Below are 20066 nucleotides of genomic sequence, written 5' to 3' on the forward strand. Positions count from 1 at the left end.
TGCCAAGAGCCAGGCATGGAGCTGGGCTCCCCGGCTGGGATGATCATCCCTGACCCATGGACTGAGGATTTGGGAGCACATGGGGTAGGGGAGTGGGCACACCACACACCCATTCCCCTGGGCTAGCCGTGGTCCGTCGCCTCAGCTCTCTGCACAGACACCGTCGCTCAGCAGCGTCTCAGCTTTTACCCACAGACTGCCTCGAGAAAGCCATGAGTGCACACACAGAGGGGGGCAGAGGACCCCAGCCGCCCTGCCACCATGCGCTCTCCCACAAACAGCTGGACTTCCTTGAGGAACTGATGGGTTCCCCCTTTCTGACACCAACACTCATGTCACTGACCATATCTTCCTTTCTGCTTTGGCTGCTGGGAAGCTCAAAGCCAAATTTGGAACTCAACTCAAGCAATCATCTTGCCTTTATGGTGTTATTTTCTGTGTGAGTTTGATGGTCTATTTCCCAAATCTCAGTTTCTGTCCTTCCTTCCATCCATCCTTCCTTCCATTCTTCCTTCTTTCCTTCCTCCCTCCCTCCCTTCCTCCCTCCCTCCCTTCCTCCCTTCCTTTTCCTTCCCTTCCCTCTCCCTCTCCTCCTTTCTCCTTCCTTCCATCCATCCATCCATCCTTCCTTCCTTCCTCCATCCCTCCCTTCCTCCCTTCCCTTTTCTCCCCTCCCCTCCCCCGCCTTTTCTCCTTCCTTCCTTCCTCCCTCCCTCCCTCCCTTCCTTTCATTATTATCAAATGCTACTATAAACACAACAAGAGCTGACCCTGTGTGCTCTTGGAGCCTGCTGTAGAGCACAGAGAGAAACATATGAACCAAAGAATCCCAAATGTATCGACAATGACTATAATTATGACAAGCAGGAATGGGTGTCAGGAAGAGACATGTGGGGGGCCTCACTGCATCAAGGGTTCGGGGCAGGGTGCCTTTCCAAAGGCGTGGCCCTGGAGCTGGGATGTGGGGGATGAGTGGAGCTCCGTGGTGGGGCATGGGGAGCAGGGGGAGCAGGGCCCAGCTAAAGCCCAGTGGAGGGACAGGCTTGTCGTGCTGGAGGGACGGAGAGGAGGGGGCCGGGGAGAATGGCTGCAAGAAGGAAGATGCAGAAGTGGGAACTCCCGGGTTCATGATTCACCTGGAGAGCAGAGGCTAACATTGCATTACTTATGTGTAACAGGAGTGTGCTTTGTGATGAAGATAAACCCCCACCGAAGTGAGGGAGTCAAGCAGGCAGAAGCGCTGGCTGTGCTGGATTATTTTCTCCCTGGGAGAAGCCGCAACCCTGGCATCTTCCAGGGAGCTGATGGAGATGGTTGGCCTGGGTGTGGGAAGAGCGGGAGAGAATCTGATGCAGGGCAGGCTGGGGCAGGGGGCACTTCACTGCAAGGGGCAAAGGCGGTCAGGAAGCCTCTCGTGCTGGTTCACTTTGTGGCCTTGAGTAAGTCCCTGCACCCAGGGCCTTGCCTTCCCTCCCTGGAGAATGAGGCCCTTGATAATGAAAGGTGGAGCTGGTCACACAGCCTCCCTCACAAACGGCTGCCTCCCAAGTGCAAGATCAGGCTCCCCAGAGCTCCCACCCGCCAGCAGTCCCTCCCCGCACGCGGAGCCCTGAGCCCCTGTCCTGCCCTCCCCAGAAGTGGGAAATGGCGACAGAGAGTCGTTCAGAAGCCATTAGGGCCTGTCGTCCCTGCCCCAGCGCCCACCCGCCCCTCCTGCTGTGGCCTGGACTTAATAATGTTGTGCAGCTTTAAAAGCCAGTGGCTCAGGCGCCCAGGCTCCCTGCAGACAGTCCTCCCCATCCCAGCAGGACCCCCACAGGCAACAGGACCTGAGCCCCCACCACCACCGGGGAGAGGGTGTTGGCTCCTGCGGGCAGGAGCCCAGATCTCTCAAGATGTGGGTTCAGGTAAGAATCTCTTGCCTGAGTTCAGGGCCTCCAGGGCAGCCTCGTTCCCTGTGAGGGAGGCTGTCCTGCCACTGGATCTCACTATTGATCAAGGGGGTGAGGCCATGGGGAAAAGTGCTGGAAGGAAGAAACCTGGGTTCTGGACCTGGATCTGGCCATAATTAGTTGTGTGACTTTGGGAAGTCACTTCTCACTTCTGTTTCCATTTGCCCCACTATTGAATGGGTGCATTGGTTTGGGTCTCTGACAAGCAGGCACCAGGATGGGGTGAGATGGGCGAGAGGCCTCTTGGGGGAGACCCTGGGCAGATTAACCAGGAGAGGGAACAGGAGCAGGCAGAGAGGGCTCCAGGCCAGGGTGCAGGTATGACACCTCCACTGTGCTGGGGAAGGGAGGGTAGGAAGAAACGGGCAGGGCCTGTGGCCTCCAGGGAAACGTGGTGGTGGATCCAGAGAGCTGGCGCTCAGTTGCTGTGCTCCAGGCAGCATCTCCTGAAGGGGAGCTGCAGGGCCATCTCCATGGCTGCTACCTGGAGGTCCCAGTCCCCACCTTGCTGTGCAGTGGGACTATGGATGATCTGCTGCATAAGCTGGGAAGTGCTGTCCCCACAGGAGCCAGTGCGTACTCCATGCAGGGGAGAAGTCTAGGGTGCCGGATTGGGCAAAGGTGAGGAAGGGAGGGCTGTCCCCCATCAGCCTGGGAGACTCTGGGACTGGTTGATCCTCATGCCACCCCTCCAGCCACACTGGGAAGGCTGAAGACAAGTTGAGGGTGCACTGAGGCAGGCTCAGAAGGCCAGGGTGAGAAGGTGGGTCTGTGGACACTGGGGAGCCATTGAGAGGCCTGACCGGCAGAGGGGCCAGTCCAGGCTGGGCCTCAGGAAGGTTAATCTGGCCTCGGTTGACCTGGTGGGGCTGAGCTGGGGAAGCCTGGGGCCCAGGCAGCGGGTGTGAGACTGAGGATTGTGGGGGGTGCAGGTGGCCAGGCCTGGAGCCAGCATTTCCCACTCCTCATGCCTTCTGACCAGAGGGATTTTCCACCCTCGGCCAGGCCTGTCTGGCCCTCCCCAGGAGATGGCTCTTAACTTCTCCATTCCCCAACGGCCCACCGGCGTGCGGTGGGAGAGCAGCCCCCAGGTTCGGGCTGTGGGACTTGCCATAGTGGCCACACTCCTCCTGCCAAACCCCAGCCCTGGTTCCCCTTCTCAAAGTCACGGCAGAAAGAAGGCCCAGCTTCCCAAGTGCCTGCCCTTCACACTGGCCATCCTCCCGGCCGCACAGCCGCTGATGCCCTCAGGCCTCAGTGAGCTGCAGGCACCCCGGGCAGCTCCTTGCCCCTTCCTCCTTATCACGACAACCAACTATTGAGCACTTACTGTATGCCAGGAGCCAGGTTGAATGCTTCCTTGAATTAGTTCATTGAATTTCTATTTCAGCTCTGCAAATTACTTACTTTTATTTCTATTTCGCAGATGAAGAAACAGGCCAGAGGTTCACTACCTTATTCACAGCTAGTCAGTGCGAGAGCTAGAATTCAAATCCAGATCTCTCTGATCCAAAAGGTTACTACTAAATAAAAACTGTAATTATCTCTCCAATCTTTCCCTTCTCGACAGTTCTCAAGTGCATTTTACTTCATCCTTAGAGGGAGTTTAGGAGAGAAATTATTCCCATTCTGCAGGTGAGAAAACTGAGGCCAGAGGAAAGAAATACCCCAAGTGTACACAAGTGGTCAGGGTTGGGCAGGAAGAGGAGAGGAGGGACATGGCGACCTAGGAAGGGTGAGGGCTCCCAGGCAGAGTCCAGTTTCCTGGTCCACTGCCCTCTGCCACTGAGGCCATCAGCAGAAGATCAGGCACCACGCCCCCAGCCCCTCACCTGCCCCAGGCTAAAGGGTGAGCTGAGAAAGACAAAAAGCAGAAATATTTCCTTGTGACACGTTCGTCCCTCCCCTCTCCCTAAGGACAGACCTGAGTCATTGAGGCAGAGGCCTCCACAGGGAGTCTGGGAGCCAAAACTTAAGGGGGGACCCCTCAGGACACATTTTTTAAGATCCTTTTATACCTTTTCTTTTAAAAAATACATGTTTCCTGATTAATTAGAAAAGTAACACCGGCTCATTGTTACAGATCACTGCCCACTGCCCACATTCCCAGAGCTAGTTCTCCATCCCCACCAATCCCTAGAGGCAGCCTCGGCACCAGCACCCAGTTGGTCTGGATACCCCCAGCCCATTCAATGCTTAGAGAGCCGTGTGTGCTTTTGCTTTTTCTCTTAAACAGATGGGATCGGGTACAGAGTAGCATGTCCCTTTTTTTCCGGTTAATATGTAGTTATATATAGTGTCAGTAGAAAGCACGGGGGAACAGTGTGTAGTTTGCGTTCATTCTGTTTCACAGTCCGGGAGGACTGAGGGATGTTCTGGAGGGTGTGGCTCCCCTGTTCATGGCACTGATGTGATTCCCTTCTTTGTGAACATTCTGCAGTCCTGAGAGTGTGATCACCCTCAGGCGAACGCTTCTAAAGACAGAATCAAATAGATGCAATAAAAAATGATAAAGGGGTTATCACCACTGATCCCACAGAAATACAAACTACCATCAGAGAATACTACAAACACCTCTATGCAAATAAACTAGGAAATCTAGAAGAAATGGATAAATTCCTCGACACATACACTCTCCCAAGACTAAACCGGGAAGAAGTTGAATCTCTGAATAGACCAATAACAGGAGCTGAAATTGTGGCAATAATCAATAGCTTACCAACCAAAAAGAGTCCAGGACCAGATGGATTCACAGCCGAATTCTACCAGAGGTACAAGGAGGAACTGGTACCATTCCTTCTGAAACTATTCCAATCAATAGAAAAAGAGGGAGTCCTCCCTAACTCATTTTATGAGGCCAGCATCATCCTGATACCAAAGCCGGGCAGAGACGCAACCAAAAAAGAGAATTTTAGACCAATATCCTTGATGAACATTGATGCAAAAATCCTCAATAAAATACTGGCAAACCGAATTCAGCAGCACATCAAAGAGCTTATCCACCATGATCAAGTGGGCTTCATCCCTGGGATGCAAGGCTGGTTCAATATACGCAAATCAATAAATGTAATCCAGCATATAAACAGAACCAAAGACAAAAACCACATGATTATCTCAATAGATGCAGAAAAGGCCTTTGACAAAATTCAACAACCCTTCATGCTAAAAACTCCCAATAAATTAGGTATTGATGGGACGTATCTCAAAATAATAAGAGCTATCTATGACAAACCCACAGCCAATATCATACTGAATGGGCAAAAACTGGAAGCATTCCCTTTGAAAACTGGCACAACGCAGGGCTGCCCTCTCTCACCACTCCTATTCAACATAGCGTTGGAAGTTCTGGCCAGGGCAATCAGGCAGGAGAAGGAAACAAAGGGTATTCAATTAGGAAAAGAGGAAGTCAAATTGTCCCTGTTTGCAGACGACATGATTGTATATCTAGAGAACCCCATTGTCTCAGCCCAAAATCTCCTTAAGCTGATAAGCAACTTCAGCAAAGTCTCAGGATACAAAATCAATGTACAAAAATCACAAGCATTCTTATACACCAAAAACAGACAAACAGAGAGCCAAATCATGAGTGAACTCCCATTCACAATTGCTTCAAAGAGAATAAAATACCTAGGAATCCAACTTACAAGGGACGTGAAGGACCTCTTTAAGGAGAACTACAAACCACTGCTCAATGAAATAAAAGAGGATACAAACAAATGGAAGAACATTCCATGCTCATGGGTAGGAAGAATCAATATCGTGAAAATGGCCATACTGCCCAAGGTAATTTACAGATTCAATGCCATCCCCATCAAGCTACCAATGACTTTCTTCACAGAATTGGAAAAAACTACTTTAAAGTTCATATGGAACCAAAAAAGAGCCCGCATCGCCAAGTCAATCTTAAGCCAAAAGAACAAAGCTGGAGGCATCACACTACCTGACTTCAAACTATACTACAAGGCTACAGTAACCAAAACAGAGATATAGATCAATGGAACAGAACAAAGCCCTCAGAAATAACGCTGCATATCTACAACTATCTGATCTTTGACAAACCTGAGAAAAACATGCAATGGGGAAAGGATTCCCTATTTAATAAATGGTGCTGGGAAAACTGGCTATCCATATGTAGAGAGCTGAAACTGGATCCCTTCCTTACACCTTATACAAAAATCAATTCAAGATGGATTAAAGACTTAAACATTAGACCTAAAACCATAAAAACCCTAGAAGAAAACCTAGGCATTACCATTCAGGACATAGGCATGGGCAAGGACTTCATGTCTAAAACACCAAAAGCAATGGCAACAAAAGCCAAAATTGATAAATGGGATCTAATTAAACTAAAGAGCTTCTGCACAGCAAAAGAAACTACCATCAGAGTGAACACGCAACCTACAAAATGGGAGAAAATTTTCTCAACCTACTCATCTGACAAAGAGCTAATATCCAGAATCCACAATGAACTCAAGCAAATTTACAAGAAAAAAACAAACAACCCCATCAAAAAGTGGGCAAAGGGCATGAACAGACACTTCTCAAAAGAAGACATTTATGCAGCCAAAAAACACATGAAAAAATGCTCACCATCACTGGCCATCAGAGAAATGCAAATCAAAACCACAATGAGATACCATCTCACACCAGTTAGAATGGCAATCATTAAAAGGTCAGGAAACAACAGGTGCTGGAGAGGATGTGGAGAAATAGGAACACTTTTACACTGTTGGTGGGAATGTAAACTAGTCCAACCATTGTGGAAGTCAGTGTGGCGATTCCTCAGGGATCTAGAACTAGAAATACCATTTGACCCAGCCATCCCATTACTGGGTATATACCCAAAGGACTATAAATCATGCTGCTATAAAGATACATGCACACATATGTTTATTGCGGCATTATTCACAATAGCAAAGACTTGGAACCAACCCAAATGTCCAACAATGATGGACTGGATTAAGAAAATGTGGCGCATATACACCATGGAATACTATGCAGCCATAAAAAATGATGAGTTCATGTCCTTTGTAGGGACATGGATGAAATTGGAAATCATCATTCTCAGTAAACTATCACAAGAACAAAAAACCAAACACCGCATATTCTCACTCATAGGTGGGAATTGAACAATGAGAACACATGGACACAGGAAGGGGAACATCACACCCTGGGGACTGTTGTGGGGTGGGGAGAAGGGGGAGGGATAGCATTGGGAGATATACCTAATGCTAGATGACGAGTTAGTGGGTGCAGCGCACCAGCATGGCACATGTATACATATGTAACTAACCTGTACATTGTGCACATGTACCCTAAAACTTAAAGTATAATAATAATAAAAATAAATAAATAAATGAAAAAGACAGCAGCTTAGAGCACAGACACAGGAGCCGGCTCTGCCACTTACGGGCTAAGTGACCTTGGACAGGTCTCTCTGGAATTCAGTTTCCTCATCTGGAAAATGGGGACAATAACTGCACCTACCTCAGAGGCCCCTGTGAGCATGCAATGAGTTATACCGTGTAGAGCACTAAGAACAATGCCTGCCGCGTCAGGAGCATCAGCAGCCATTCCAGTTACTTCTAGAGGTGGGATGGCTGCGCCTCAGGATTTGTGCACTTGTTAGTGTTACCAGATTCTGCCAAATAGTCCTGTTCCCACACCCCTGAGGACACTAGTACCTCCCAATGCTGAGGTGTCCCCTCCTTCTGGAAGACTGATAAGAATCATGAGAATTGCAAACCCCCACACTGGGCCTCATACTGTGTGCACGAAGGGCTTTCCCAGCTGTTCCTGGACAGACTCCTGGTGTATTTCCAGGTCTTGTATTTAACCAAAAACCAAAACCCCACACAAACCCCTCTTCCTTCTACCAGGGTCATTTTCCCCACTAAAAATCCCTCCATCCAAAAATATTATCTCACTGTGGTGTAGACGAAAGAGCCCCAGCCCAGGGTCAGGGAAAAGGGACCTTGGTGACAGCTCTGCCACCTCCTCACTGAGACACTCAGGCAGGTCCTGGAGCCCCTCCAGCCTCAGCTTCAGAGCCAGGACTCAGTGGCCCACGGTGAGGATGGAGTCAAGCGAGGGGCACAGGGCAGCTCACCCCCAGGCTCCCACGCGTGCCGGATGGGTGCCACACCACAAGCACCTCCTTAGATTTTACACCCCGGGCCTCTTGCCTGCCTCACCCTAGTCCTGGCCACTGGCTCAGTTTTCTTATCTGCAAAATGGGAATCTTAACTGTGACCTACAACCCTCAAGGGGCGATTCTGTGGAGCAAATGAGAGAGTTGAGTACACGACGGGGCTTTGCACACTCTCAGGTGCTTGATTTAGGATTCTTGAGCAAGATGGCTGTGAAGCAGGAGAGGGTGATTCTGGCTGTGGGAACTCAGAGACCAAGTCCAGAACGGCTCTCCCAGGAGGTTCGTGCAGGATTGTGAGAGAGGACACGTGTGTGTGTGTGTGAGTATGTGTGTGTGTTGGTGGCAGGGACGGATACTACTGATTGAAGACAAGAGATTCACTTGGAACCTCATTCCTTAAAGGCTTTGGGGGGCACCCTAAACCCTTTATCCCAAAGGGAGCTACATCCCTTTGGACGTAAAGATTCTGCTGCAACCACAGGCCCCCTGAGTTTGTGTGAGGTTTGCAGCCAAAGGCAGGTAAGTCGGAAGAAAATGTAGGTGCAGCACCTCCACCCTCCAGGCCAGGCAGGCAGAAGGTCAGAGGCATAGACAGGGACAAGCTCAGGGCCTGGGCAGAGAAGGGAGGCCATGATCTTTCCCAGGGAAGGAGCTTGCACATGCTTCTCTGGCTCAATTTTATTTTATGGACACTTCAAAACAAGCCTAGGAAGTCAGTGGGATTCTTTTTAGTTCCATTTTAAAGATGAGGAAACTGATTAGGGGGCGGGAGGTGGGGAGTGTCTTGACCAAGGTTCTGGCTCAAGAACCTACTGGGATCTTGACCTCTGTGGCCTCCCCAGAATCTGGGCAGGTTAAAGATCTCGCATGTGCTCTTCCAGGGAGACAGCCAGGCCTTTGCACCACCACCCCAGAAGTCTTCTGTTCTGAGTTCAGCAGACTCTGTCTCTCTTAAACCCTGCCCCTGCTGGAGACTCAGTTCAGGCAACTCCTAAAACATGAGGTGGCCATGGGGCATACCAGGCTACAGGGTCCCCTTCATCCTCTGCCCCCTTCCCTTGTGGTGCCCACTCCCTTGATGGTGACAGCTGGGCTTGGCCCCATTAGCACCATTTTCAATAACAACTCTGAGGTCTGGGGGCAGGGGTAGTGCCAATGCGCTCCCCTGGGGGCCCAACCCTCTTGCTACCCAGACCCCACTATCCCCTCTGTCCCCACCACAGAGGCCACTGTCTTTCCTGCCTCTTTCACCCTCAGTGCACAAGCCAGCCCCTGAGGCCCTCCTGCAGCAGCCAGGCCCCCACATCGAAACTGCCCTAAAGGACCTGAAATTGGGACCTGGGGGTCAGCCCAATGTCACAACACCTTCATCAACAACAATAAAACCTACCACCTGGCCAGGCCCGGTGGCTCATGCCTGTAATCCCAGCACTTTGGGAGGCCGAGGTGGGCGGATCACCTGAGGTCAGGAGTCAAGACCAGCCTGGCCAAAATTGTGAAACCCCGTCTCTACTAAAAGTACAAAAAATTAGCCATGCATGGTAGTGGGCACCTGTAATCCTAGCTACTCAGGAGGCTGAGGCAGGAGAATCACTTGAACCTGCGAGACGGAGGTTGCAGTGCACCGAGATGTTGCCAATGCACTCCAGCCTGGGCGACAAGAGTGAGAATCTGTCTAAAAAATAAAAATAAAAATAAAATAAAAAATAAAAAAACCTACCACCCATTGAGGAAAGGCTAGCAGGGTACCAGGCAGCTCCCAGGCATTTTACATATGCAGTAAGTTGTTTACCCTCACAGCAATTCTGAAGCTATGCTGATGGTAAGTGGACCCATTTGACAGCTGCATAAACTGAGGTTCTTAGTATGGTGTCCCCCAGAAGCAGCCCTTAGGTGAGGGCTCAGTTCCCTGTGAGTAGTGCATTTCAGAGATGATACCAGGAAATACCGGTAAGGAAGAGGAGAAATGAGACAGGGAAGGGAAGAAAGACATAAAAGGCTGAGTCATTAAACAAATGACCACTGCGGGCAACCAAAGTGGTTGGGGCTTGCTGGGAGATGGCGTGGAATATGCCCCAGGATCATCCCAACTGAGGGGACAGGAGGCTGGGATATTTGTCTGCCTTCAGGCCTTACTGCCCGAGGGCTGCTTCAGCGGATGCATATGTTCCAGGGCTCAAAGCCCTTCAGCTTCGATTTCACTCACACAGAGAGGAAATGCCCTCGGGCAAACAGTCATGGCGTGTGCAGTAAGCAGCACCAAATGGGAAAAAGTGAAGGCTGAGGGGACTTGGGCCAGGCATCTGCAGGGTCTTCTTTCCGAGGCTCAGAGAGGGGTAGTCACTGGTTTAAGGTCACACAGCTTGTTAGTGGCAGAACCTGGATCCAAACCTGATCTGCCAATCCCAAATTTTAATCCCCAGGGTAGGAATGGGACCAGGACTAGGGGTTAGGTCTGTCTAGAGTGGGCTCTGCAGCTCAGCTTCACTCTCCACCGCACCAAGAAAGCCCTTAAACCTTATCCAGAAAAATGCAAGGAGAGATACCAGCAGGTTCCCATGTTCCCTGGAAATCCTTCATTGCCCGTAGTCTGGCTGCTGGGATGTTGGGAATCTCAGAACAAGGTTATTTTGCCAACGGGAAGGCAGACCCCCTGAAACAAGGAAGAGAGACTGCAAAGCCCAGACCAGAGGGTGAATGAATGAATGAATGAATGAATGAATGAATGAATGAATATAATCAGACAACAGTGTCTCAAAGCTCAGATCCTCTTGGCAGCATCTAGGCCTTTCGCCTCCTCCCACAATTCCACCCACCAAGCCCCACAGAAAGACAGTCCCAAGGTGGCAAACTTGTAACCCACAGGTGTCAAATGAGTCATTTTGCTTTGCATGTCACCATGCTTTTGAATTTTTTTTTGTTTTAGCTTTGTCAACATTTAACAATTGTAAAACTTCACATCACATGAAAACCCCGATTTCCAACTTTGCTGGAAAAAGCAGAAGCTCTGGTGGAATAAAGCCCACCTTCCTGCTGGGTGGCAGCCCCCCCTCCCTGGGATCAGACAAGGACTCTCCCTCTTGCCTTCCTGACACTGAAGCCAACGTCAGTTGCCACATTGTCACTTGCACTATGGTTTTAATGTCACCGACATGGCCCCTGGAAGCACGGAAGTCTGAGAGGCCTGGAGCTGGAAACCTGGAGCCCTGCGTTCTGACTTGCTCTGTGACCTCAAGCAAGTCCCTTCCCCTCTCTGTGCCTCATCACTTCCTTTATGAACTGAAGGGCCAGACAAGTGATCTAAGAGCCCTTCTTGCCCACAGTGTCCCAAAATCAATAAAGAGGGCTGGGGAGTTGAGCAGACCTTCCTTGGTTGAAGGCCTCTGTCCAGGCATGGGGGGCACTGCTGCAAAGAGACTGCATCCTCCCGACTCCCCCAAACTCAAAGTGCATCCAGGTGCTCCTGAGGGTCTGCTGGGCACTTGCTGCCCCTCCACACCACTCATGAGCTCCACTGAACCTGTCCCCAGCAGCGGGTATGCCCCTCAGATAGATGACTTGCTCTTCTTATGTTCCATGGGCACATGTAATGGGTGGGCAGCAGGCGGAAGAGCAGGACACAATCTCTGTGCTCATAGGCCGTGAGCGGCAGAGAACACCAAGCAGCAGCTGCAGGCAAAAGAAAGCCACTCCCCACAGTGCAACTCTGATCTCTCCGCCACGGCATGGATACCCACCCCTGGCTGCTGCAGGCCGACCCCTGAGAAGCCACTGGAAAAGAGTGCAGGGCCTGGGCCGGGCACAGGTGCCTGTCCAGAGCACAGATTCAGAGTCTGAGCAAATTCAACCCAAATGCTTCCGGTGCCTCCTCCGTGCCTGGCAGTGGGCTCAAGTCCCACCAGTCACTTCCTAAATATGAACTAACCATATCATGATCTGTGTCGTGATTGCTGCAGCTGCGGCGGGAGCTCTCGGGAGAGACCTGGCAAGCCCTATCTGCCAGCCTCCACCGCCTCCTTCACGGAATTGCCTCCTTCTTGCTGGAGCTGTTGTGAGAACCAGATGAGAACAACAGCCAGCATGCCTGGAGAGCTTTTCTGCACCCAGCACGGTTTGGGCTCTTTTCAAGTGACGCTGCGTGTGGCCCGGCCAGCTCACCACACTCACACGTGCCTCTCATGCCTCACACCCGCAGGGCGCCCACACCCACTTCCACACTCACACCCGCCCACCCCCCTGCTCACAAGTGCGTCCTCCCAGGCCCCAGGCCCCCGCCCCTCTCCCCTCCCCTCCCCTGTGGCCAGTGAGCTCCCAGCCTGCCCTGCGCTGGCCCCATGGTGCTGTCAGGCTCCCCGAAGCCACAGCCTGCCCTGACTCCCACAGCCAAATCGAGTCAAAGACCAATTAATATTCTGATACCTGTGGCCAGCTGAAGTGATGGAGAGCTGCTGATTTCTTTTTCCATTTTACTCCAACTGTGGTTTCTTTTTTTTTTCCCAGCCCTCCTTTGGTCAGTGGTTTTAGGGGCACTAAAGTTCACTTTTGTGGGTAACCTGCACTGTTAGCTGTTGATTTAATTAACTCAGCCTTTCTCTTCCTTGACCAGAACACGGCCAGCCGGGCTGCTCTGCAGACACCCATTTGGACAGCCGACGGCTGGAGGCGTCTGGCAGGAGGAGCATGTGGTCCCTGGCAGCCACTCGCCAGCCCCGCTGTCGTTGACAGCTGAGTGTTTTCTGCAGCACTTCTGAGCCACCAGTGTGTGAGGTTCAAGGGGGGTTTGCTCTTATTTGATGGGTGGGCAAATTGAGGCTCCGAGGTAAGAATTCAATAAGGTTGCAAAGCTAGCAACGAGCATTCCTAGGTTTGCAAACCAGGCATGCCTTTGTCCACAAGCCTCTATTTTGAAGAGACTGCCACGCCCCTAAAAGGTGTGGCATTGGAGGTGAGGCAGAGAGAAAGCTGGAAGACACAACGGGGAAGAGGAGTGCAGGGGATTTTAAGGAAGATGCTAGTTGAAGTTGTAACCTCTTGGCCTCACTCCTGGGGTTCTTCCTTACAATGGAGCAAACCAGAATCTTTCTTCCTCTCAGACGTTTCCAGAATTCTTGCACGAATCTCTCAGTGGCAAGGTGAAAGGAACATCAGGCCTTCCACAGAGGGACAGAAACCCTTGCCCAGTGGAGGCCTCCAACCACAGAGGACCCTTAGAGATAGGAAGCCCAGGGCGAGAGGGAGAAGGAGAGGGACCAGGCGCAGACACCTGAGGATGAGCAAACAGAAGTGAGGCCAGGGATGTGGTGAGACTCTCCGGGTGACTTGGAGAAACTTCATCCCACTCTCTGGACCCCAGAGAGGCAGTGAGGGATGCCCTCAGTGGGCAGAGATGGCTGTTCCAGCCCGGGCAGCTTGTGGGTTATGGAACTCTGGCTGCTGGAATAGAGAAGCTGGCAAGAGTAGGGAGTTCAGGCAGGGTTCTAAGCCTAGGGGCCGACCCTCCTCTTCTCCCCTTCCCGCTCCACCTCCTCCAGGAAGCTCCTCACCCCTCACCCATGCCTGTTCCCCAGCCCTGTGCCCAGGGCTCCGTGGGCCTTTTTTTCTTGCCACCAGGGTGAATCGTCAATTGATTTGTTATTTATCCCACTGACAACAAAGAGAGTGAAAAGGTAATAATTCTGGGCCCTGGGGTAATTCAATTCCTGTAGCACCGTCAGCTACATTAACTTACTTCCTGGATCTCAATTCAATTAGAGCAACATTCCCCAGCATTAATAAATCAATACTCATGCCATTTGGATATATTTTGAATGTCTTTCATTATACATTGCAGGTCAGGGATGGCTGTTGAATTGGAAGTTAATGGGACAGGACAGGGCAGGTGGGGCTGCCTGGGGAGAAGCTTCCAGCCGTTAGCTCTAATTGCCTCTGCTGCAAAAGAGGGCGTTAGTAAAACAGAGGCCTGGTTAACTTAGCCGAGCCCGCCTGGAGTTACAGCAAGTTGCAACTCCTGTCTGGGTAGACGGGAGCCACGGTGGTTGGAGAGACTGTGTTCACCCACTTGGATACTCATTCATGCATTCATTTCCCCATCCCTCCCCTCCCAACCTTCCTCCTATCCATCCTTTCACTCTCCAGCCCCTTGTCATCCCTCCTCTAAGCCTTCTTTTGGACTCTCCCTATTCCTCCTCCCACCCTCCTCCTGGTTCTTCCTGTCCCTCCTCCTATCCCGCCTCTCAACCCTCCCCCCGTCCTTCCTCTCATCCCTCCTCACAATTTTCCTGTCTCTCCTCTTATCCCTCCTTCATCTTCTCCCCATCTTCCTCCTATCCTTTTCTTCCTTTCTTCCAATTTTTTTTCCATCTTTTGATTTTTCTCCCCATCCAGAACACTGCACTGTACTGTAGGGCCTGGAGTTTATGAGGCTCCAGGCCCTACACTGGCTTTTGGGCTTGTATGGGGTACAGCATACGTGTTCTCCAGCCTCAGGGACTCAGACGTCTAAATGAATAATGGCGAGCCAGTGTTTAAGAGCAATGACATGGACAATCATTAATACCTCTGTGGAAGAGGGGCCAGAGCAGGGCTCAGCACCCACCTGTGGCTGGGAGTTCTGACCCTGGGGATCAGGGAAGGGTCGGGGGAACGCTCCCTAGAGGAGGTAACACCTGGGGTAGATTCTGAAGGATGAGATGGTCTTGGCTGGGAGGCTTGAAGATCAGGAGCTGCAGAGAACCCAAGGAAACCGAGGCCTGCAGGGCAGGGGCTTGCCATCAGGAACATGGATCCAAATCACCCAGGAAGTGATAAAAGTGGGGATTCCAGGCCCCTCCTCTGGGAAGTCTGATCCAGGAGGTGTGGGAAGGGGTCAGAAGTCAGCGTTGGTGGCCATAACACGGAAGATGCCTGCTTGGAGTGAGCCCACATCTCAGGTTCGCCACAACTGGCCATGTGGCTGAGCAAGTCCCTAACTTCTCTGAGCCTTCCTGGGTCTTTCATCAAATTTCTCATTCAATAATACCCCTGGAGGGGTCAAGAGAGCACTGGTGGCAAACAAAGACACTGAGGACCAACCAGATGGGGGGCTGGGCCACAGGTGCTGTCTCCACCTTCCCTATGTGGAGGCTCAGGGCCTTTGCACCTGCTACTCCCTCTGCTGGTCACTGTCACCCCCAGTTTCCCTACGGTTGACTCTTCCCTTTCTATATTTGTCTACTGCTGCATAACAAGTTACCCCAAAATTTAGTAGCTTAAAACAACAAGCACGTATTATCACACAGTTTCTATGGGTCAGAAATCCAGGAGTGGCTGATTCTGGCTCAGGCCCTCGGATGACACTGCTCTGGGAATGTTGGCAGCGGCTGCAGCCATCTGAAGGCTTGACCGGGGCAGAAGGGTCCTCTTCCCAGGTGGCGCATTCACAAGGCTGCTGGCAGGAAGCCTTGGTTCCTCCCTGGCTGCTGGAAGAAGGGGTTAGTTCCTCTCTAGGTGGGCCTCTCCATGGCATGGCAGCTGGTTTTGTCCAGAGCGGTCCTCCAAGTGAAAGAGCAAACCAGAAACTGCAACGTATTTCATGACCTACCCATGGAAGTCATAAGCCTTGGTTTGTGGCACATTCTACTAGCTTGAAGTGAGTCTCCAAGTTCAGTCCACACTCCAAGGAAAGAAAATTAAGTTCTCTCTTTTTTTTTTTTTTGTGAGATGAAGTCTTGCTCTGTCATCCAGGCTGGGGTGCAGTGGCACAATCTCTGTTCACTGCAACCTCCACCTCCCGGGTTCAAGCGATTCTCTGGCTTCAGCCTCCTGAGTAACTGGGACTACAGGCATCTGCCACCACACCCGGCTAATTTTTGTATTTTTAGTAGAGACAGGGTTTCACCATGTTGGCCAGGCTGGTCTTGAATTCTTGACCTCAGGTGATCCGCCCACGTCGGCCTCCCAAAGTGCTGGAATTACAGACAGGAGCCACCGTGGCTGGCCTAAACTCGTCTCTTGAAGGGAAGAATATCAAGGAATTTGGGGGCATAGTTTTAAACCGCCATCTTCCTTTAGGCCTTGCTCAAATGTCACCTTCCCAGAGATGCCTTCCCGGACATGTCTGTTTTAAGGACTCCAGCCCTCTCTTCATTGTCTCTCCCCTCTGGATCTACTCCTTTTCTGCATGGCATCTGTCAGCACCTGACATCCTATCTATTTTAATTCTTAATCTTGTTTATTGCCCTCCTCTCCCCACTAGAGTAGGCTCCATGAAATCAGACAGTCAGTTTTGCTCACTGCTGTACCTCCTGCACTGGAATGCTCCCTGGGATACAGTAGGTATTAATAAATAAATGTCGAATAAAAGGATGCAAGTGGAGCTGAACTGGTCTGAGGGGCAGCCCTTTTCCCGGTGTGGCCGTCAGCCTTCAGCATGATGCTGGACATACCCTTTGCCCTAGCTAGCTCAGCCTGTTTTTCCACCTAATAGGAGAGTGCTGGATTCCCCCTTCCATTTAACAAGTATGTTCCAAGCACCTGCCACGTGCCACACTGTGTTCTGGGCCCCAGACAGACACAGCACCTGCCCTCATGATGCTGATCCTCTAGAATAAAACCACTGAGGGTCCTTCCAGATCCCATGTACTCCTACTTGGCCCTCAGGCCTCCAACAAATGCTGCTATGGACTGAATTGTGTCCCTGCAAACATTCATTGGTTGGAGTCCAACCCCCACAATGTGATGGTACTTAGAGATGGGAGCTTTGGGAGGTAATCAGGGTTAGATGCAGTCTTGAGGCTGGCCCCTCATGATGGGATTAGTGCCCTTATGAGAAGAGGAAGAGGGAGAAATCACTCTTTCTCCACCACACGCAGACACAGTGAGAAGGTGGCCATCTGCAAGATAGGAAGGGAGCCCTCACCAGGAACCAAACTGGCCGGCACCTTAATCTTGAACTTCTCAGACTCTAGAGCTGTGAGAAGTAACTGTGTGTTGTTTAAGCACCCCATCTGTGGTGTTTTTTTGCAGCAACCAGAGCAGACTGAGACAAATGCTGATGGCCGATTGCCTGAGTTCAGAGATCCACAGCTTCCATGTTAGGCTGGGGTGTTTCACAACAGGAGTCTCCTGGGAGGGAGTGGAGACCCACCAGATGGGGCCTATGGAGAACAAGCTCTTGCTCACCTTCAGGCCTTTGCACAGCTCTCTCCTGCCTGGCATTCCCCCTCCCCATTCCTCACTCTATCACTAGCCAGCTCCTCCTCACCCTTTGGGTCTTGGCTTCCGTGCTGCCTCCTCTGGGAAGCCTTCCTTGACACAGTGTCTGGATTAGGGACACACAGGGTTAGGGCTGGTTCCCACAGCCCCTGGGCCTCCTGTGTGAGTGTACTCTCCCTGCTGGGCCAACATTGTTCCTTTACCATCTGTCTCTACTTAGCACCTCCTGCGAGCACCCAAGGGCAGGCCTGGAGCTGGCAACCTCAGGGCTGGTCCCACTCTCAGTGGGGCCCACCTTCACTTCACTGTGGCTAAGGCCACACAGCTAGTGGTTCTCCAAGCCGAGGCACAAGCCCAGGCCCATCAGATGCCCAAGTGTGTGCTCCTTCTCCCTCTGCTCCACGGATACATGCTCTCACTTGCGCTCCCAAACCATCTCTTGTGTGTCTTCATGAAAAATGAGTCTTCCCATGAGTCTGATGGAGAAACTGAGGCCCGGAACAGTCATCAGACCAAAGTCACATGGCCAGTGAGGAGCTGCTGGGACCGGAATCCAAGGTTCCCGCTGCTCCCAAATTCACTCACTGCACTCAAACTTCCCCGACCCCAGCCCCACACACCCCAAGGAAATGTTCTTTGCCCAGCAATTCATCAGCCCCTGGCAGTGAGCTCTCACTGCATCCTGAGACCCTCACCTGACCACTGTGTTCACTTTCCTATTCCTTGGGAGGAAGCTGTCACTGGTCCCACTTTGCAGAAGGGAAAACAGAGGCCCAGAGACATGAGGTCACTTGTTTACTATTCACTCAGCTAGTTAGTGGCAGGGCGGGGATTTAAGCCCACTGAGTCAGAGCACCCCTTCTAAGCTCTGAGCAACAGTCAGGCCATGACCCATTCATTCGTTCACTCTTTCTTCCTTCACTCATTTAACCCGTGCTAAATACAACTTCCCTATGAGGGAGACGGATAACACACAGGTAAACACACACATCAACACACACGTCAACAAAGTGATTTCAGAGTTGTGATGCCTTAAAGAGAACAATGCAGGGTGATGTGGCAGAAAGTGACCGGGGCAGGGGACACTGCTTTAGCCCAGAGATCCTAGCTAGGGATGCGATGTTTGAGCTACTAGCCAAGGGCCACTCAAAGATTTGGGGAAAGACCCCAAAGTGAGAATTGCAGCATCGTGAGGAAGAGAAAGAGTACTTGGAGGGGCAGAGATGGATCAAGGAAGGAAGGAGACCAGGATGCCCGTCTCTTGGGTTGGGTGACCCCAAGAAACCACTGCTCCTTCTGGGCAGCTGGCCTGGCCATGTCCAGGTCCATGCTGGAGGGACCTTGATATAGTGGCTGGAGGCAATGAGAAGGTGTGCTGGCCGAGGCCCCCAGGCCTGAGGTTTGCTGAGTTAAGGCAGCCTGTGAGTGAGACCAGCTGGACTCTATGACTGCCAGGGGCCTGTTCAACTTGTGGCTGGCTCCCCGGGCCTAAGGAGGGAGCAAGTGACTGCAGACACATGGCCCACATGGACCACTAGGGTGGCGTCACTCAGGGAGAAGAGACTAGATCCCAAGCCCACAGCTCAGGTGTGAGGCTCACAGCCAGCTGCAGGGGTCAGAGGCCTGAGTGCCCCCCGAGCACCTGCATGCCAGGTCTGTGTTAGACCAAGACCTCCTGGATCCTCAGCAGGCCGTGGGGAGAGAGGCCTGCCCAGGGAGGCCCTTGGAGAGGCAGAGCTGGGGCACTGGCCCTGCCCCTCTGCCCATCCTGGTAGCTGTCTCCCTATGGCACCGTCCCCCAACTCCAGAGCTTTGGACAGAGACTGAGCATCAGCCTCCTCAGGGGAGGACAAAGGACCAGGTCTATCTGGTCACTTAACTATTTGACAGGTTTTAACGCCTCATGGGGGATGGTCAGAGACCCTGGACCGAGGCCCCTTAGGAACCCTAGAGGGGGCAGCTCTCCTGTGTCTGAGCCTCAGCTTCTCTTTGAGACACATAAGGGGACAGCCCAGGACAGGAGAAAGCACAGGCGCTTTGACATTTTCAAAAAATCTGGGTTCCTACCAGGGGCAGTGGCTTGCACCTGTAATCCCAGCACTTTGGGAGGCCGAGGCAGGAATGCTGCTTAAGGCCAGCAGTTTGAGCAGCCTGTGCAACAGGGCAAAATCTCACCTCTATAAAAAAGAAACAATTTTTTAAAAAATTAGCTGGGCACAGTGGTGCACACCTGTAGTCCCAACTACTTGGGAGGCTGAAGTGGGAGGACTGTTTGAGGCCAGGAGGTTGAGGCAGCAGTGAGCCATAATCATGCCACTGCACTCCAGCCTGGGCAACAGAGAGAGGGCCTGACTTTTAAAAAATAATAGTAAAAAATAAAATAAAAAAAAACCTGGGTTAAAATCCTGATTCCCCTTGTATGACCTTGGGCAAGTCACCCTGCCTCTATCCTCAGTTTCCTCATTTGCAAAACCAGAGCTACACCGTGCACCACCAAGGCTAGCTAGAGATTCAACAGGAGGACGCAGATAAGGAACGGATTGCCCCAGGCGCGCAGTGAACACTGGCCTCCTCTCTCTGCTTATTTTTACTCAGCTTAAATTTATCTGTACATCCCCAACCACCACCTGTGTCACTAACTCGCTGTGGTGACCTGACATCAGACCTTTCTCTCTCTGGTCTTCATAGCATTTGGAAGTTGAGGAGACTTCAAGTTTCAAGTCTTGAGCCCACACCCTCATGCAATGACAAACTAAGACTTCCAAGGTCAG

General features: G+C 51.6%; 2 annotated features.

Annotated features, from left to right (window-relative positions):
- Positions 1061-1564: a silencer, noted in NCBI's record as "fragment chr1:25381310-25381813 (GRCh37/hg19 assembly coordinates)". NCBI's record gives its function as "represses an EF-1alpha promoter that drives an FKBP-Casp9 reporter gene in an ReSE screen in HepG2 liver carcinoma cells {active_cell/tissue: HepG2}" and the evidence as "EXISTENCE:reporter gene assay evidence [ECO:0000049][PMID:32094911]".
- Positions 18263-18878: an enhancer, noted in NCBI's record as "H3K27ac-H3K4me1 hESC enhancer chr1:25398512-25399127 (GRCh37/hg19 assembly coordinates)". NCBI's record gives its function as "activates a minimal SCP1, AML or CMV promoter by ChIP-STARR-seq in naive H9 embryonic stem cells {active_cell/tissue: H9 hESC(naive)}" and the evidence as "EXISTENCE:reporter gene assay evidence [ECO:0000049][PMID:30033119]".

Source organism: Homo sapiens, chromosome 1 (genome assembly GCF_000001405.40).
Source record: "Homo sapiens chromosome 1, GRCh38.p14 Primary Assembly".
In the NCBI taxonomy this organism is placed as follows: domain Eukaryota; kingdom Metazoa; phylum Chordata; class Mammalia; order Primates; family Hominidae; genus Homo; species Homo sapiens.